The sequence below is a fragment of the Homo sapiens genome, chromosome X (genome assembly GCF_000001405.40).
Source record: "Homo sapiens chromosome X, GRCh38.p14 Primary Assembly".
Taxonomy (NCBI): Eukaryota; Metazoa; Chordata; class Mammalia; order Primates; family Hominidae; genus Homo; species Homo sapiens.
The window spans coordinates 65,162,427-65,183,122 of record NC_000023.11 but is presented as its reverse complement, the minus strand read 5'-3'; the positions used below and the strand labels follow the sequence as shown (position 1 = coordinate 65,183,122).

General features: G+C 40.3%; 1 protein-coding gene across 14 annotated transcripts in view, besides 1 other annotated feature; it reads right to left on the bottom strand.

Annotated features, from left to right (window-relative positions):
* Positions 1 to 20,696, bottom strand: part of ZC3H12B (zinc finger CCCH-type containing 12B) — a 473,062-nt gene that overhangs the window by 324,765 nt on the left and 127,601 nt on the right. The gene's annotated exons all lie outside the window — the stretch shown is intronic.
* Positions 8,459 to 8,624: a silencer, noted in NCBI's record as "fragment chrX:64394379-64394544 (GRCh37/hg19 assembly coordinates)". NCBI's record gives its function as "represses an EF-1alpha promoter that drives an FKBP-Casp9 reporter gene in an ReSE screen in phorbol 12-myristate 13-acetate-treated (for megakaryocytic differentiation) K562 erythroleukemia cells {active_cell/tissue: K562(+PMA)}" and the evidence as "EXISTENCE:reporter gene assay evidence [ECO:0000049][PMID:32094911]".

Here is a 20,696-nt window from a genome sequence, read left to right as displayed (position 1 = left end):
GTGTGCATGTGTCTTTAGAGTAGACTGATTTACATTCCTTTGGGTACAAACACAGTAATGGAATCTCTGGGGCAAATGGCAATTCTGTTTTAAGTTCTTTGAGAAATTGCCAAACTGCATGCCACAATGGCTCAACTAATGTAAACTCCCATCAGCAGTATATAAGTGTTGCCTTTTTTTTCACAACCTAGCCAGCAACTGTTCATTTTGACTTCTTAATAATAGCCATTCTGGCTGGTATGAGATGATATCTCATTGTGCTTTTGATTTGCATTTCTCTAATAATTAGTAATATTGAGCAATTTTTCATATGCTTGTTGGCTGCATTTATGTTTCCTTTTAAAATGTGTCTGTCCACGTCATTTGCAAACTTTTAAATAGGGTTTTTTGTTTTTTTTTTTGTTTGTGAAACTGACAAAGTTCCTTAAAGATTCTGGATATTAGACCCTTGTGAATGCACACATTGCAAATATTTTCTTCAATTCTGTAGGTTGTCTATCTATTGATAGCTTCTTTGCTGTGCAGAAGCTCTTTAGTTTAATTGGATCATATTTCTTAATTTTTTTGTTACAATTGCTTTTGGTGTCTTCATCATGAAATCTTTGCCATGGCCTATGTACAGAATGGTACTGACAGAGCAGGAGCATCATGACCTTGGACAAGCACCGCCATTTTATTTTTATTTATTTATTTATTTTTTAATTAATTCACTTTAAGTTCTGGGATACATGTGCAGAACGTGCAGGTTTGTTACATAGGTAAACATGTGCTATGGTGGTTTGCTACACCTATCAACCCATCATCTAGGTTTTAAGCCACGCATGCATTAGGTATTTGTCCTAATGCTCTCCCTCCCCTTGCCCCCACCTCCCAACAGGCACTAGTGTGTGATGTTTCCCTCCCTGTGTCCATGTGTTCTCATTGTTCAACTCCCACTAATGAGTGAGACTGAGCAGTGTTTGGCTTTCTGTTCCTGTTTTACTTTGTTGAGAATAATGACTTCCAGCTTCATCCATGTCCAGGCAAAAGACATGAACTCATTCTTTTTGATGGTTGCACAGTATTCCATGGTTTACATGTGCCACATTTTCTTTATCCAGTCTATCATAGATGGGCATTTGGGTTGGTTCCAAGTCTTTGCTATTGTACACAGTGCTGCAATAGACATACGTGCACATATTTCATTATAGTAGAACGATTTATAATCCTTTGGGTATATACACAGTAATGAGATTGCTGGGTCATATGGTATTTCTGGTTCTAGATCCTTGAGGAATCGCCACACTGTCTTCCACAATGGTTGAAGTAATTTACACTCCCACTAACAGTGTAAAAGCATTACTATTTCTTCACATCCTCTCCAGCATCTGTTGTTTCCTAACTTTTGAATGATCACCATTCTAACTGGTCTGAGATGGTATCTCATTGTGGTTTTGATTTGCATTTCTCTAATGACCAGTGATGGTGAGCTTTTTTTCATATGTTTGTTGGCAGCATAAATGTCTTCCTTTGAGAAGTGTCTGTTCATATCCTTTGCCCACTTTCTGATGAGGTTATTTTTTTTCTTGTAAATTTGTTTACTATTATTGTAGATACTGGATATTAGACCTTTTTCAGATGGATAGATTGCAAAAAATTTCTCCCATTCTGTAGGTTACCTGTTCACTCTGATGATAGTTTGTTTTGCTGTGCAGAAGCTCTTTAGTTTAATTAGATCCCATTTGTCAATTTTGGCTTTTGTTTCAATTGCTTTTGGTGTTTTAGTCATGAAGTCTTTGCACATTCTTATGTCCTGAATGGTATTGCCTAGGTTTTCTTCTAGGGATTTTATAATTTTAGGATTTATATTTAACTATTTAAATCATCTTGAGTTAATTTTTTGCATAAGGTATAAAAAGGGGGTCCAGTTTCAGTTTTCTGCATATAGCTAGCCAGTTTTCCCAGCACCATTAATTAAATAGAAAATCCTTTTCCCATTGCTTGTTTTTGTCAGGTTTTTCGAAGACCAAATCATTGTAGATGTGTGGTGTTATTTCTGAGGCCTCTGTTATGTTCCATTGGCCTATGTGTCTGTTTTGGTACCAGTACCATGCTGTTTTGGTTACTGTAGGTTTGTAGTATAGTTTGAAGTCAGGTAGCGTGGTGCCTCCAGTTTTGTTCTTTTAGCTTGAGATTGTCTTGGCTCCATGGACTCGTTTTTTGGTTCCATATGAAATTTGAAGTAGTTTCTGGTAATTCTGTGAAGAAAGTCAATGGTAGCTTGATGGAAACAGCATTGAATCTATAAATTACTTTGATTACTATGTCCATTTTCATGATCTTGATTCTTCCTAAATTTTTTTTCAACTTCTTTGGGTCCTCTCTTATTTCCTTGAGCAGTGTTTTGTAGTTCTGCTTGAAGAGGTCCTACACGTAACTTCTAAGTTGTATTCCTAGTATTTTATGCTGTTTGTAGCAATTCTGAATGGCAGTTTACTCATGATTTGGCTCTCTGTTTGTCTATTATTGGTGTATAGAAATGCTTGTGATTTTTGCACATTGATTCTGTATCCTGAGACTTTGCTGAAGTTTCTTATCAGCTTAAGGAGATTTTCGGCTGAGATGATGGGGTTTTCTAAATATACAATCATGTCATCTTCAAACAGAGACAATTTGAATTCCTCTCTTCCTATTGTCTTGTGCCAGTTTTCAAAAGAAATGCTTCCAGGTTTTGTCCATTCAGTATGATATTGGCTATGGATTTGACATAAATACCTCTTATTATTTTGAGATATGTTCCATCAATACCTAGTTTATTGAGAGTTTTTAGCATAAAGAGATGTTGAAATTTATCAAACGCTTTTTCTACATCTATTGAGATAATTATGTGGTTTTTGTCATTGGTTCTGTTTATGAGACAGATTATGTTTAATGATTTGCGTATGTTGAACCAGCATTGCATGCCAGAGATGAAGCCAACTTAATCATGATGGATAAGCTTTTTGATGTGCTGCTAGATTTGGTTTGCCAGTATTTTATTGAGGATTTTGGCATCAAAGTTAAGCAGGGATATTGGCCTGAAATTTTCATTTTTTGTTGTGTCTCTGCCAGGTTTTGGTATCAGGACGATGCCGGCCTCATAAAATAAGTTAGGGAGAAGTCCCTCTTTTTCTATTGTTTAAAATAGTCTCAGAATGAATGGTACCAGCTCCTCTTTATACCTCTTGAAGAATACACCTGTGAAGTTATCTGGTCCTGGGATTTTTTTGGTGGACAGACAATTAATTTCTCAATTTCAGAAATTGTTATTGGTCTATTCAGAGAATTGACTTCTTCCTTAGTTTAGTCTTGAGAGTGAGTATATGTCCAGATATTTATCCATTTCTCCTAGATTTTCTTTGTAGCAATTCGCATAGAGTTTATTTGCATAGAGGTTTTTTATAGTATTCTCTGATGATAGTTTGTATTTCTGTTGGATCAGTGGTGACATCCTATCATTTTTATTGTGTCCATTTCACTCTTCTCCCTTTTCTTCTTTATTAGTCTGGCTGGTGGTCTATCTATTTTGTTAGTCTTTTAAAAAACCCAGCTCCTAGATTCATTCATTTTTTGAAGGGTTTTTTGTGTCTCTATCTCCTTCAGTTCAGCTTTGATCTTAGTTATTTCATGTCTTCTGCTAGCTTTTGAATTTGTTTGCCCTTGCTTCTCTAGCCCTTTTTTAGATCTTTTTTTTTTTTAAATAACTTTAAGTTATGAGATACATGTGCAGAACATGCAGGTTTGTTACATAGGTATACACATGCCATGGTGGTGTGCTGCAACCATCAACCCGTCATCTACATTACGTATCTCTTCTAATGCTATCCCTCCCCTTACCCCCAACACCCCGACAGGCCCCACTCTGTGATGTTCCCCTCCCTGTGTCCATGTGTTCTCATTGTTCAACTCCCACTTATGAGTGAGAACGTGTGGTGTTTGGTTTTTTGTTGCTGTGTTAGTCTGCTGAGAATGATGGTTTCCAGCTTCATCGATGTCCATTCAAAGGGCAGGAACTCATCATTTTTATGGCTGCATAGTATTCCATGGTGTATATGTACCATATTTTCTTTATCCAGTCTATCATTGATGGGCATTTGCATTGGTTCCAAGTCTTTGCTATTGAAAATAGTGCTGCAATAAACGTACATGTGCATGTGTCTTTATGGCAGAATAAGTTACAATCCTTTGGGTATATACCCAGTAATGGGATTGCTGGTCAAAGGTACTTCTGGTTCTAGATCCTTGAGGAATTGCACACTCTCTTCCACAATGGTTGAACTAATTTACACTCCCACCAACAGTGTAAAAGTGTTCCTATTTCTCCACATCCTCTCCAGCATCTGTTGTTTCCTGACTTTTTAATGATCACCATTCTAACTGGCATGAGATTGTATCTCATTGCAGTTTTGATTTGCCATTCTCTAATGACTAGTGTTGGTGAGCTTTTCTTCATATGTTTCTTGGCAGCATAAATGTCTTATTTTGAGAAGTGTCTGTTCACATCCTTCGCCCACTTTTTTGATAAGGTTGTTTTTTTCTTCTAAATTTGTTTAAGTTCCTTGTAGATTCTGGATATTAGCCCTTTGTCAGATGGATAGATTGCAATTATATTTTCACATTCTGCAGGTTGCCTGTTCAATCTGATGATAGTTTGTTTTGCTGTGCAGAAGCTCTTTAGTTTAATTAGATCCCATTTGTCAATTTTGGCTTTTGTTGTCATTGCTTTTGGTGTTTTCGTCATGAAGTCTTTGCCCATACGTATGTCCTGAATGGTATTGTCTAGGTTTTCCCCTAGGGTATTTATGGTTTTACGTCTTACATTTAGGTCTTTAATCCATCTTGAGTTAATCTTTGTATAAGGTATAAGGAAGGCATCCAGTTTCAGTTTGCTGCATATGGCTAGCCAGTTTTTCCAACACTGTTTATTAAATAGGGAATACTTTCCCCATTGCTTGTGTTTCTCAGGTTTGTCAAAGATCAGATGGTTGTAGATGTGTGGCATTATTTCTGAGGCCTCTGTTCTGTTTTATTTGTCTATGTATCTGCTTTTGTACCAGTACCATGCTGTTTTGGTTACTGTAGCCCTGTAGTATAGTTTGAAGTCAGGTAGCATGATGTCCCCAGCTTTGTTCTTTTTGCTTAGGATAGTCTTGGGTATACAGGCTATTTTTGGTTCCATATAAAACTTAGTTTTTTCTGTGAAGAAAGTCAATGGTTGTTTGATGGGGACAGCAATGAATCTATAAATTACTTTTGGCACTATGGCCATTTTCACGATATTGATTCTTCCTATCCATGAGCATGGAATGTTTTTCCAATTGTTTGTGTCCTCTCTTATTTCCTTGAGCAGTGGTTTGTAGTTCTCCTTGAAGAGGTCCTTCATATCCCTTTTAAGTTGTATTCCTAGGTATTTTATTCAGTTTGTCACAATTGTGATTGGCATTCACTCATGATTTGGCTATTTGTCTATTACTGGTGTATAGGAATGCTGGTGATTTTTGCACATTGATTTTGTATCCTGAGACTTTGCTGTAGTTGCTTATCAGCTTAAGGGGTTTTTGGACTGAGACGATGGGGTTTTCTAAAAATACATTCATGTCATCTGCAAACAGAGACAATTTGACTTCTTCTCTTCCTACTTGAATACCCTTTTCTTTCTTTCACTTGCCTGATTGCCCTGGCCAGAACTTCCAATACTATGTTGAATAGGAGTTGTGAGAGATGGTACACTTGTCTTTTGCCTGTTTTCAAAGGGAATGCTTCCAGCTTTTGCCCGTTCAGTATGATATTGGCTGTGGGTTTGCATAAATAGCTCTTATTATTTTGAGATATGTACCATCAACAACTAGTTTCTGGAGAGCTGTTAGCATAAAGAGGTGCTCAATATTATTGAAGGCCTTTCCTGCATCTATTGAGATACTCATGAAGTTTTTGTCATTGCTTCTGTTTATGTGATGGATTATGTTTAATGCTTTGTGTATGTTGAACCATCCTTGTGTCCCAGCAATAAAGCCGACTTGATCATGGTGGATAAGCTTTTCAATGTGCTGCTGGATTTGGTTTGCCTGTATTTTATTGAGGATCTTCACAACAATGTTGATCAAGGATATTGGCCTGAAATTTTTGTTGTTGTTGTTTCTTTGCCAGATTTTGCTATCAGGATGACACTGGCCTCATACAATGAGTTATGGAGGAGTCCCTCCTTTTCTGTTGTTTGGAGTAGTTTCAGAAGAAATGGTACCAGCTCCTCTTTGTGCCTCTGGTAGAATTTGACTGTGAATCCGTCTCATCCTGGGCTTTTTTTGGTTGGTAGGCTATTAGCTCCTGCCTCAATTTCAGAACTTGTTATTGGTCTGTTCAGGGATTTGACCTCTTCCTGGTTTAGTCTTGGGAGGGCGCATGTGTCCGGGAATTTATCCATTTCTTTTAGATTTTCTAGTTTGTGTGCATAAAGGTGTTTATAGTATTCTCTGATGGTAGTTGGTATTTCTGTGGGATCAGCGGTGTTATCCCCTCCATCAGTTTTTATTATGTCAGGGACCCACTTAAGAAAGCAGTCTGTCCCTTAGCAGAGCTCCAGTGCTGTGCTGGGAGATCTGTTGCTCTCTTCAGAGCTGCCAGGCAGGAACACTTAAATCTGCAGAAGTTGCGCCCACAACTGCCCATTCACCCAGGTGCTCTGTTCTAGGGAGATGTTAGTTTTATCTATAAGCCCCTGATTGGGGCTCCTGCCTTTCAGAGATGCCCTACCCAGAGAGGAGGAATCTAGAGAGGCAGTCTGGCTATAGAGGCTTTCTGGAGCTGTGGTGTGCTCCACCCAGTTCGATCTTCCTGGTGGCTTTCTTTACACTGTGAGGAGAAAACTGCCTACTCAAGCCTCAGTAATGGTGGGATCCCCTCCCCCCACCAAGCCCGAGCATCCCAGGTTGACTTCAGACTGCTGTCCTGGCAGCTAGAATTTCAAGCCAGTGGATCTTAGCTTGCTGGGCTCCGTGGGTGTGGGATCTGCTGAGCTAGACCACTTGGCTCCCTGGCTTCAGCCTCCTTTCCAGGGTAGTGAATGGTTCTGTCTCACTGGTGTTCCAGGCGCCACTGGGGCATGAAAAAAAATGCCTGCAGCTAGTTTGGTGTCTGCCCAAATGGCCACCCACTTTTGTGCTTGAAACCCAGGGCCCCAGTGGTGTAGGCACCTGTGGGAATCTCCTGGTCTGTGGTTACAAAGACTGTGGGTAAAGCGTAGTATCTTCACTGGAATGCAGCGTCTCTCATGGCACAGTTTTTCACAGCTTCCCTTGGCTAGGAGAGGGAGTTTCCCAACCCCTTGAGCTTCCCAGGTGAGGCAACGCCCCACCGTGCTTCATGAGTTTTTGGCTCATCCTTTGTGAGCTGCACTCACTGTGCAACCAGTCCCAATGAGATGACCCAGGTACCTCAGTTCGAAATGGAAAAATCACCCACCTTCTGCATTAATCTCACTGAGAGCTGCAGACCAGAGCTGTTCCTATTCGGCCATCTTGCCAGCTACCAGTTTGACTGCATTTTGACTGTAACCCATCACATGAGTTCAGGTATGGAATATTTCACTTGCTCAAAAAAGTTTTTGATTTTGGAACATTTCAATCTTTATATTTTCAAATTAGAAATTCTTGAGCTGGATAGTCATTACATTGGTTCCTATGTAGCAATCAAAAATGTTTACAAATAAATTTCATGACATGGGGGAAATTTTTAAGTAAAAAAAAAAATGTTACATGCAAAACGGAGAGAGATCTGGCAAGAAGGCCAAAGGAACAGCTCTGCTCTGCAGCTACCAGAAAGACCAATGCAGAGGGGGGTAATTTCTACATCTCCAAATGAGGTACACAGTTCATCTCACTGGGACTGGTTAGGCAGTGGGTGCAGCCCACGGAGGGTAAGCAGAAGCAGGGTGGGGTGTCACCTCACCTGGGAAGTGCAAGGAGCCAGGGACCTCTGTCCCCCATCCAAGGGAAGCCGCAAGGAACTGTGCTATCTGGCCCAGATACTGTGCTTTTCCCACAGTTTTTGCAAACCCAAGACCAGAAGATTCCCTCATGCACCTACACTGAAGGGGCCTGGGTTTCAAGCACAAACCCGGGTGGTTTTTGGAGCAGAAAGCAAGCTAGGTGCAGGAGTTTTTTTTTTTTGTTTGTTTTTTGTTTTTTTTTCCTCCATTGGCACCTGGAACCCCCGCAATACAGAACTGTAAACTCCCCTGGAAATGAGGCTGAAGGCAGGGAGCCAAGTGGTCTCATTCAGCAGGTCCCACTTTCATGGAGCCCAGCAAGCTAAGAACCACTGGCTTGAAATTCTCACTGCGAGCACAGCAGTCTGAAGTCAACTTGGAACAATTGAGCTTGGTGGGAAGAGAAGTGTCCACCATTACTAAGGTTAGAGTAGGCGGTTTTCCCCTGACAGTGCTAAGAAGGCCGGGAACTTCAGATTGGGCAGAACTCACCACAGCGCAGCAAGCGGCTGTGACCACAGTGCCTCTCTAGATTCCTCCTCGCTGGCAGGGCATCTCTGAAAGAAAGGCAGCAGCCCCTGACAGGGGATTATAGATAAAACTCCCATCTCCCTGGGACAGAGCACCTGGGGAAGGGGTGGATGTGGGCGCAGCTTCAGTGGACTTAAACATTCCTGCTTGCTGGCTCTGAAGAGAGAAGCAGATCTTGGCACATCTTCAGAGCAGCTACTGTTATTCTGCCAAAAGGAAGTGGAAATTTAGATAAAAGTTTCAATCCTTGGATGGATAAAAGTCCATTTTTACACAACGTCACTTTTGAAAAACAAGGAGTATTCTTCCAACACAGTACTTGAGCTCTGCTAAGGGACAGACTGCATCCCTGATGTCCAAGTGCATCCCTGATCCTGTGCCCCCTGACTGGGAGACACCTCCCAGCAGGGGTCAACAGACACCTCATACAGGAGAGCTCTGGTTGGCATTAGGCTGGTGCCCCTCTGGGATGAAGATTCCAGAGGATGGAGCAGGCAACAATCTTTGCTATTCTGTAGCCTCCACTGGTGTTACCCAGGCAAACAGTTTCTGGAGTGAACCTCCAGCAAACTGCAGCAGACATGCAGAAGAGAGGCCTGACAGCTAGAAGAAAAACTAACAAACAGAAAGCAATAACATCAACATCAAAAAAAAGGACCCCCACATAAGAACCCCATCCAAAGGTCATCAGTCTCAAAAATCAGAGACATAACAAAAAATAAAAACTTCAGGCCAATATCCCTGATGAACGTCAATGCAAAAATCCTCAATAAAACACCAGCAGCACATCAAAAAGCTTATCCACCACAATCAAGCTGGCTTCATCCCTGGGATGTAAGGCTGGTTCAACATACAAAAATCAATAAATGTAATTGATCACAAAAACAGAACAAATGACAAAAATCACATGATTATCTCAATAGATGCACAAAAGGCCTTTGATAAAATTCAACATCCCTTCATGCTATTAACTCTCAATAAACTATATATTGATGGAACATATCTCAAAATAATAAGAGCTGTTTATGACAAACCCATAGCCAATATCATACTGAATGGCCAAAAGTTGGAAGCATTCACTTTGAAAACTGGCACAAGACAAGGACGCCCTCTCTAACCACTCCCATTCAACATAGTATTGAAAGTTCTGACTAGCACAATCAGGCAAGAGAAAAAAATAAAGCATACTCAAACAGTAAGAGAGAAAGACAAACTGTCTTTGTTTGCAGAAGACATGATGTTATATTTAGAAAACACCATCATCTCAGCCCTAAAACTCCTTAAGCTGATAAGCAACTTCAGCAAAGTGTCAGGATACAAAATCAATGTGCAAAACCCACAAGCATTCCTATACACCAACAATAGATAAGCAGACAGACAAATCATGAGTGAACTCCCATTCAGAATTGCTACAAAAAGAATCAAATACCTAGGAATACAACTTACAAGGCACAGGAAGGACGTCTTCAAAGAGAACTACAAATCTCTGCTCAAGGAAATGAGAGAGGACACAAATGGAGAAACATTCTATGCTCATGGACAGGAAGAATCAATAATGTGAAATTGGCCATACTGCCCAAAGTAATTTATAGATTCAATGCTATTACCATCAAACTACCATTGACTTTGTAAGCAGAATTAGAAAAAACTACTTTAAATTTTAAATGGAATAAAAAATGAGCCCATATAGCCAAGACAATCCTAAGCAAAAAGAACAAAGCTGGAGGCATCACACTACCTGATTTTAAAGTATACTACAAGGCTACAGTAATAAAAACAGCATGCTACTCGTACCAAAACAATTATATAGAACAATGGAACAGAACAGAGGACTCAGATATAATGCCACACATCTAGAACAATCTGATCTTTGACAAACCTGACAGAAACAAACAATGTAGAAAGGATTCCCTATGTAATAAATGGTGCTGGAAAAACTGGCAAGCCATATGCAGAAAACAGAAACTGGACCACTTCCTTACACCTTATAGAAAAATTAACTCAAGATGGATTAAAAACTTAAGTGTAAAACCCAAAACCATAAAAATCCTAGAAGAAAACTTAATACCATACAGGACATAGGTATGGGCAAAGTCTTCATGACAAAAACACCAAAAGCAGTTGCAACAAATGCCAAAATTGACAAATGGGATCTAATTAAACTAAAGCACTTCTCCTCAGCAAAGGAAACTATCATCAGAGTGAACAGGCAACATATAGAATGGAAAAATTTTTTACCCACCAGAAAAAGGTCTAATATCTAGAATCTACAGGGAACTTAAACAAATTTACAAGGAAAAAACAAACAACTCCATCAAAAAGTAGGCAAAGGATATGAACAGACACTTCTTAAAAGAAAACATTTATGTAGCCAATAAACATATGAAAAAAAGATCGTCATCACTGGTCATTATAGAAATGCAAATCAAGAGGTTCCAAGATGGCCAAATAGGAACAGCTCCAGTCTACATCTCCCAGTGTCAGTGACACAGAAGACGAGTGATTTCTGCATTTCCAACTGAGGTACTGGGTTCATCTCACTGGGGCTTGTCGGACAGTGGGTGAAGCCCACAGAGCAGGGCGGGATATCGCCTCACCCAGGAAGTGCAAGGGGTCGGGGAATTCCCTTTCCTAGCCAAGAGAAGCCGTGACAGATGGTACCTCGAAAATTGGGATATTCCCACCCTAATACTGTGCATTTCCAATGGTCTTAGCAAACGGCACACCAGGAGATTATATCCCACACTTGTCTCGGAGGGTCCCATGCCCATGGAGCCTCACTCGTTGCTAGCACAGCAGTCTGAGATCGAACTGAAAGGTGGAAGCAAGACTGGGGGAGGGGCGTCCACCATTGCTGAGGCTTGAGTAGTTAAACAAAGCAGCTGGGAAACTCAAACTCGGTGGAGCCAACCACAGATCAAGGAGGCCTGCCTACCTCTGTAGACTCCACCTCTGGGGGCACAGCATAGCTGAACAAAAGGCAGCAGAAACTTCTGCAGACTTAAACGTCCCTGCCTGACAGCTTTGAAGAGAGTAGTGCTTCTCACAGCAAGGAATTTGAGATCTGAGAATGGTCAGACTGCCTCCTCAAGTGGGTCTCGGACCCCCGAGTAGCCTAACTTATAGACACCTCCCAATACGGGCCGACTGACACCTCATACAGCTGGGTGCACCTCTGAGATGAAGCTTCCAGAGGAAGGATCAGGCAGCACTATTTGCCGTTCTGCAATATTTGCTATTCTGCAGCCTCTGCTGGTGATACCCAGGAAAACAGGGTCTGGAGTGGACTTGCAGCAAACTCCAACAGACCTGCAGCTGAAGGTCCTGACTGTTAGAAGGAAAACTAACAAACAGAAAGGACATCCACACCGAAACCCGACCTGTACTTCACCATCATCAAAGACAAAAGGTGGATAAAACCACAAAGATGAGGAGAAACCAAGCAGAAAAGCTGAAAATTCTAAAAATCAGAGTGCCTCTTCTCCTCCAAAAAAACACAGCTCCTCTCTAGCAATGGAACAAAGCTGGATGGAGAATGACTCTGACAAGTTGAGAGAAGAAGGCTTCACACAATCGGTAATAACAAACTTCTCTGAGCTAAAGGAGGATGTTCTAACCCATCACAAATAAGCTAAAAACCTTGAAAAAATATTAGACGAATGGCTAACTAGAATAAACAGTATAGAGAAGAACTTAAATGACCTGATGGAGCTGAAAACCATGGTACGAGAACTAGGTGACGCATGCACAAGCTTCAGTAGCTGATTTGATCAACAGGAAGCAAGGATATCAGTGATTGAAGATCAAATGAATGAAATGAAGTGAGAAGAGAAGTTTAGAGAAAAAGGAGTGAAAAGAAATGAACAAAGCCTCCAAGAAATATGGGACTATGTGAAAAGACCAAACCTACGTCTCATTGGTGTACCTGAAAGTGACAGGGAGAATGGAACCAAGATGGAAAACACTCTTCAGGATATTATCCAGGAGAACTTCCCCAACCTAGAAAGGCAGGCCAACATTCAAATTCAGGAAATACAGAGAATGCCACAAAGATACTCCTAGAGAAGAGCAATTCCAAGACAAATAATTGTCAGATTCACCAAAGTTGAAAAGAAGGGAAAAATGTTAAGGGCAGCCAGAGAGAAAGGTCGGGTTACCTACAAAGGGAAGCCCATCAGACTAACAGCAGATCTCTCGGCAGAAACTCTAAAAGCCAGAAGACAGTGGGGGCAAATATTCAACAATCTTAAATAAAATAATTTTCAACCCAGAATTTCATATCCAGCCAAATTAAGCTTCATAAGTGAAGGAGAAATAAAATACTTTACAGACAAACAAGTGCTGAGAGATTTTGTCACCACCGGGCCTGCCTTACAAGAGCTCATGAAAAAAGCACTAACCATGGAAAGGAACAATTGGTACCAGCCACGGCAAAAACATGCCAAATTGTAAAGATCATTGGTGCTAGGAAGAAACTGCAGCAACTAACGAGCAAAATAACCAGCTAACATCATAATGACAGGATCAAATTCACACATAACAATATTAACCTTACATGTAAATCGGCTAAATGCTCCAATTAAAAGACACAGACTGGCAAATTGGATAAAGAGTCAAGACCCATCAGTATGCTGTATTCAGGAGACCCGTCTCGTGTGCAGAGACACACATAGGCTCAAAATAAAGGGATGGAGGAAGATCTGCCAAGCAAATGGAAAACAAAAAAAGCAGAGATTGCAATGCTAGTCTCTGATGAAACAGACTTTAAACCAACAAAGATCAAAAGAGACAAAGAAGGCCATTACATAATGGTAAAAGAATTAATTCAACAAGAAGAGCTAACTATGCTTAATATATATGCACCCAATACAGGAACACCCAGATTCATAAAGTAAGTCCATATAGACTTACAAAGAGACTTAGACTATCACACAGTAAAAATGGGAGACTTTAACACCCCACTGTCAACATTAGACAGATCAATAAGACAGAAAGTTAAAAAGGATATCCAGGAATTGAACTCAGCTGTGCACTAAGCAGATCTAATAGACATCTACAGAACTCTCCACCCCAAATCAACAGAATATACATTCTTCTCAGCACCATATTGCACTTATTCCAAAATTGACCATATAGTTGGAAGTAAAGCACTCCTCAGCAAATGTAAAATAACAGAAATTATAACAAACTGTCTCTCAGACCACAGTGCAATCAAACTAGAACTCAGGATTAAGAAACTCACTAAAAACTGCTCAACTACATGGAAACTGAACAACCTGCTCCTGAATGACTACGGGGTACATAATCAAATGAAGGCAGAAATAAAGATGTTCTTTGAAACCAATGAGTACAAAGACACAACATACCAGAATCTCTGGGACACATTTAAAGCAATGTGTAGAAGAAAATTTATAGCACTAAATGACCACGAGAGAAAGCAGGAAAGATCAAAAATTGACACCCTAACATCACAATTAAAAGAACCAGAGAAGCAAGAGCAAACACATTCAAAAGCTAGCAGAAGGCAAGAAATAACTAAGATCAGAGCAGAACTGAAGGAGACAGAGACACAAAAAACCCTTTAAAAATCAATGACTCCAGGATTTGTTTTTTTGAAAAGATCAACAAAATAGACCACTAGCAAGACTAATAAAGAAAAAAGAGAGAAGAATCAAATAGATGCAATAAAAAATGATAAAGGGGATATCACCATCAATTCCACAGAAATACAAACTACCATCAGAGAATAGTATAAACACCTCTACAAAACAAACTAGAAAATCTAGAATAAATGGATAAATTCCTGGACACACACACCCTCCAAAGACTAAACCACGAAGAAGTTGAATTGCTGAATAGACCAGTAACAGGCTCTGAAATTGAGGCAATAATTAATAGCCTACCAATCAAAAAAAGTCCAGGACCAGATGGATTCACAGCCGAATTCTACCAGAGATACAAGGAGGAGCTGGTACCATTCCTTCTGAAACTGTTCCAAACAATAGAAAAAGAGGGAATCTTCCCTAACTCATTTTATGTGGCCCACATCATCCTGATACCAAAGCCTGGCAGAGACGCAACAAAAAAAAAAAGAGAATTTTAGACCAATATCCCTAATGAACATAGATGCAAAACTCCTCAATAAAATACTGGCAAACTGAGTCCAGCAGCATATCAAAAAGCTTATCCACCATGATCAAGTGGGCTTCATCCCTGGGATGCAAGGCTGGTTCAACATATGCAAATCAATAAATGTAATCAAGCATATAAACCGAACCAAAGATAAAAACCATATGATTATATCAATAGCTGTAGAAAAGGCCATGGAAAAAATTCAACAGCCCTTCATGCTATGAACTCTCAATAAATTTGATATGGATGGGACGTATCTCAAAATAATGAGAGCTATTTATGACAGACCCACAGCCAATATCATACTAAATGGGCAAAAACTGGAAGCATTCCCTTTGAAAAGTGGCACAAGACAGGGATGTCCTCTCTCACTACTCCTATTCAACATAGTGTTGGAAGTTCTGGCCAGGGAAATCAGGCAGGAGGAAGAAACAAAGGGTATTCAATTAGGAAAAAAGGAAGTCAAATTGTCCCTTGTTGCAGATGACATGACTGTATATTTCGAAAACCCCATCATCTGAGCCCAAAATCTCCTTAAGCTGATAAGCAACTTCAGGAAAGTCTCAGGATACAGAACTAATGTGTAAAAATCACAAGCATTCTTATACACCAATAACAAATAGAGAGCCAAATCATGAGTGAACTCACATTCACAATTGCTTCAAAGAGAATAAAATACCTAGGAATCTAACTTACAAGGGATGTGAAGGACCTCTTCAAGGAGAACTACAAACCACTGCTGAAATAAAAGAGGACACAAACAAATGGAAGAACATCCCATGCTCATGGATAGTAAGAATCAATATCATGAAAACAGCCGTACTGCCCAAGGTAATTTATAGATTCAATGCAATCCCCATAAAGCTACCAATGACTTTCTACACAGAATTAGCAAAAACTACTTTAAATTTAACATGGAACCAAAGAAGAGCCCACATACCCAAGACAATCCTAAGCTAAAAGAACAAAGCTGGAGGCATCACGCTACCTGACTTCAAACTACACTACAAGGCTACAGTAACCAAAACAGCATGGTACCGGTGCCAAAACAGAGATATAGACCAATAGAACAGAACAGAGCCCTCAGAAATAATACCACACATCTACAAACATCTGATCTTTGACAAACCTGACAAAAACCAGAAATGGGGAAAGGATTCCCTATTTAATAAATGGTGCTGGGAAAACTGGCTAGCCATATGTAGAAAGCTGAAACTGGATCCCTTCCTTACACCTTATACAAAAACTAATTCAAGATGGATTAAAGACTTAAATGTTAGACCTAAAACCATAAAAACCCTAGAAGAAAACCTAGGCAATACCATTCAGGACATAGGCATGGGCAAGTACTTCATGACTAAAACACCAAAGGCAACGGCAACAAAAGCCAGAAGTGACAAATGCAATCTAATTAAAATAAAGGGCTTCTGTACAGCAAAATAAACTACGACCAGAGTGAACAGGCAACCTATACAATGGGAGAAAATTTTTACAATCTACCCATCTGACAAAGGGCTAATATCAAGAATCTACAAAGAACTTAAACAAATTTACAAGAAAAAATCAAATAACTGCATCAAAAAGTGGGCGAAAGACATGAACAGACACTTCTCAAAAGAAGACCTTTATGCAGCCAACAGACATGTGAAAAAAGCCTCACCACTGGCCATCAGAGAAATGCAAATCAAAACCACAATGAGATACCATCTCACACCAGTTAGAATGGCGATCATTAAAAAGTCAAGAAACACCAGGTGCAGGAGAGGATGTGGAGAAACAGGAACACTTTTACATTGTTGGTGGGACTGTAAACTAGTTCAACCATTGTGGAAGACGGTGTGGTGATTCGTCAAGGATCTAGAACTAGAAATACCATTTGACCCAGCCATCCCATTACTGCTTATATACTGAAAGGATTATAAATGATGCTGCTATAAACACACATGCACACGAATGTTTATTGCAGCACTATTCACAATAGCAAAGACTTGGAACGAACCCAAATGTCCATCAATGATAGACTGGATTAAGAAAATGTGGCACATATACACCATGGAATACTATGCAGCCATAAAAAACGATGAGTTCATGTCCTTTGTAGGGACATGGATGAAGCTGGAAACCATCATTCTGAGGAAACTATCGCAAGGACAGAAAACCAAACACTGCATGTTCTCACTCATAGGTTGGAATTAACCAATGAGTACACTTGGACACAGGGTGGGGAACATCACACACTGGGGCCTGTCGTGGGGTGGGAAGAGGGGGAGGGATAGCATTAGGAGATATACCTAATGTAAATGATGAGTTAATGGGTGTAGCACACCAACATGGCACATGTATAACTATGTAACAAACCTGCGCATTGTGCACATGTACCCTAGAACTTAAAGTATAATAAAAAAGAAAGAAAGAAAGAAAAAGAAATACAAATCAAAACCATAATAAGATACCATCTCATGCCAGTTAGAATAGCGATTATTAAAAAGTCAGGAAATAGCAGATGCTGGTAAGAATATGGAGAAATAGAAATACTCTTACAATGTTGGTGAAAGTGTAAATTAGATCAACCTTTGTGGAGGACAGTGTGGCCATTCCTGAAGGATCTAGAACCAGAAATACCATTTGACCAAGCAATCCCATTATTGGGTATACACCCAAAAGATTATAAATCATTCTACTATAAAGACACATGCACATTTATGTTTATTGCAGCACTATTTTCAATAACAAAGACTTGGAACCAACTCAAATGTTGATCAATGATAGACTGGATAAAGAAAATTTGGCACATATACCCCATGGACTACTATGCAGCCATGAAAATGAATGAGTTCATGTCATTTGTAGGGAGATGGATGAAGCTGGATGGAAACCATCATTCTTAACAAACTAACAAACAAACTAACACAGGAACAGAAAACCAAGCACTGCATATTCTCACTCAAAATTGGGAGCTGAACAATGAGAACACATGGGCACAGGGAAGGGAACATCCCACACCGGGGCCTTTCGGCAGTGTGGGGCAAATGAAGTGTGAGCATTAGGACAAATACCTAATGCATGCAGGGCTTAAAACCTAGATGACAGGCTGATAGGTGCAGTCAACCACCATGGCACATGTATACCTATGTATCAAACCTGTACGTTCTGTACATGTATCTGAGAACTTAAAGTAAAATAAATAAAATAAATTTAAAAAGTAAAACTGGAGAATAACATTTTTAGCAATATAATCTCAATTAATGTGGAGCAATATAAAAGAAGGAAGTAAATTCACTGAAATAATAACAGTATTTATTTCAGGAGTTTGGGGGCAGTTACTAATGATTTATTGATTTTCTCCTTTTTATTTGTTTGAAAATTTCTACAACAAATATCTACTGTTGTAACATCGAAATATAACTTCGTTTAAAGCACTTCATTTTCTCTATGTTCTCTAAGTTTTTCTTTTAAGTTTTCTCATCTCCCTCCCCAACTAAACTGTATAATGCCTGAGGAAAAATAGTATGATTGATTTTATTTTCTGATTTATGTGAGAAACTTTGCTATAAGACTCTTGTTAATATTTTCAAGAAAGCTTCCTTATCCTGTGCTCTAACATTCTTTAAACATATTATGGGCACATCAGTATTCACACAGGGCTACTTTTGAGGGGAAATTGCCAGTACCTCTTTTTTCAGAGTACATAAGCCAGACCAACAATCTGAAAACTCTTTATGATAGATGTTGATGAAAGTGTCTTTTCAAAAATTATGACAGTAAAAGAAATCTAACATAGCTGACTCCACCTTGCTTCTAACCTTATAAGCGGTCCTTGCTCATTCCTGGACAAAACCAAGCTAACTACAAGAGGCATTTAATTTGTTCAACTTTGAAACAAAGATATTAATCTCTTCCCAAAACTAACCTCCTTCCTTTCTCAGGGACTGAAACCACCTTTGTAAATGAAAAAATGGGCAAAAAAGTTAGAATCATGCTTCAGGAGTCATGTAGCCAGAGGTCACAAGAGTTATATCCTCCCTAATTGCTCCTATAGATATTATCATTATTATAAAACCTGAGCGGTGTTTGAGGTATTTTTCAGATCTTGCATTCTGATGGATCAGCTGATACCACCCAGCCCATTAACCACACCAAAAAACTGATTCAACTGGTTCTATAACCCACACCCAGTAACTGACTCAGTGCAAAAAGACATCTTTGACCCCCTGTGATTTCATTCCCAACCCAACCAATCAGCATTCTCTATTCCCTAGTCCCTGGCCACCAAAATGTCCTTGAAAAACCCTAGCCTCCAACTTCTTGGAGAAGTGGATTTGAGAAATATCTCCCATCCTCTCACTTCACTACCTTGCAATTATTAAACTATTTCTTTGTTGCAACACCTGTGGTTTTCAGTGTATTGATTTTTCAGGGCAGTGAGCAAAGAGAAATCATCAGGCTATAACGACAGGTAGTTTTTAAGAAGCCAGGATAGATTTAATAATCAAATAAAATAAAATATTTGCTTACATTAAAACTCTGCCAGCAGAGGGGGGGAGCCAAGATGGCTGAATAGGAACAGCGACGGTCTACATCTCCCAGCGTGAGTGACGCAGAAGATGCGTGATTTCTGAATTTCCATCTGAGGTACCGGGTTCATCTCACTAGGGAGTGCCAGACAGTGGGTGCAGGAGAGTGAGTGCAGTGCAACATGCGTGAGCTGAAGCAGGGCGAGGCATTGCCTCACTCGGGAAGCACAAGGGGTTGGGGAGTTCCCTTTCCTAGTCAAAGAAAGGGGTGACAGATGGCACCTGGAAAATCAGGTCACTCCCACCCTAATACTGCGCTTTTCTGACGGGCTTAAAAAACGGCGCACCAGGAGATTATATCCCGCACATAGCTCAGAGGGTCCTACGCCCACGGAGTCTCACTGATTGCAAGCACAGCAGTATGAGATCAAACTGCAAGGTGGCAGCGAGGCTGGGGGAGGGGTGCATGTCATTGCTCAGGCTTGCTTAGGTAAACAAAGCAGCCAGGAAGCTCGAACTGGGTGGAGCCCACCACAGCTCAAGGAGGCCTGCCTGCTTCTGTAGGCTCCACTTCTGGGGGCAGGGCACAGACAAACAAAAAGACAGCAGTAACCTCTGCAGACTTAAATGTCCCTGTCTGACAGCGTTGAAGACAGCAGTGGTTCTCCCATCACGCAGCTGGAGATCTGAGAATGGGAAGACTGCCTCCTCAAGTGGGTCCCTGACCCCTGACCCCCGAGCAACCTAACTGGGAGGCACCCCCCAGTAGGGGCAGACTGACACCTCACACGCCCAGGTATTCCTCTGAGACAAAACTTCCAGAGGAACGATCAGACAGCAGCATTCACGGTTCACAAAAATCCGCTGTTCTGCAGCCACCACTGCTGACTCCCAGGCAAACAGGGTCTGGAGTGGACCTCCAGCAAACTCCAACAGACCTGCAGCTGAAGGTCTTGTCTGTTACAAGGAAAGCTAACAAACAGAAAGGACATCCACACCAAAAACCCATGTGTGCATCACCATCATCAAAGAACAAAAGTAGATAAAACCACACAGATGGGGAAAAAACAGAGCAGAAAAACTGGAAACTCTAAAAAGAAGAGCGTCTCTTCTCCTCCAAAGGAACGCAGTTCCTCACCAGCAAAGGAGCAAAGCTGGACAGAGAATGACTTTGACGAGGTGAGAGAAGAAGGCTTCAGACGATCAAACTACTCTGAGCTACAGGAGGAAATTCAAACCAAAGGCAAAGAAGTTAAAAACTTTGAAAAAAATTTAGACGAATGTATAACTAGAATAACCAATACAGAGAAGTGCTTAAAGGAGCTGATGGAGCTGAAAGCCAAGACTCGAGAACTACGTGAAGAATGCAGAAGCCTCAGGAGCCGATGTGATCAACTGGAAGAAAGGGTATCAGTCATGAAAGATGAAATGAATGAAATGAAGTGAGAAGGGAAGTTTAGAGAAAAAAGAATAAAAAGCAATGAACAAAGCCTCCAGGAAATAAGGGACTTTGTGAA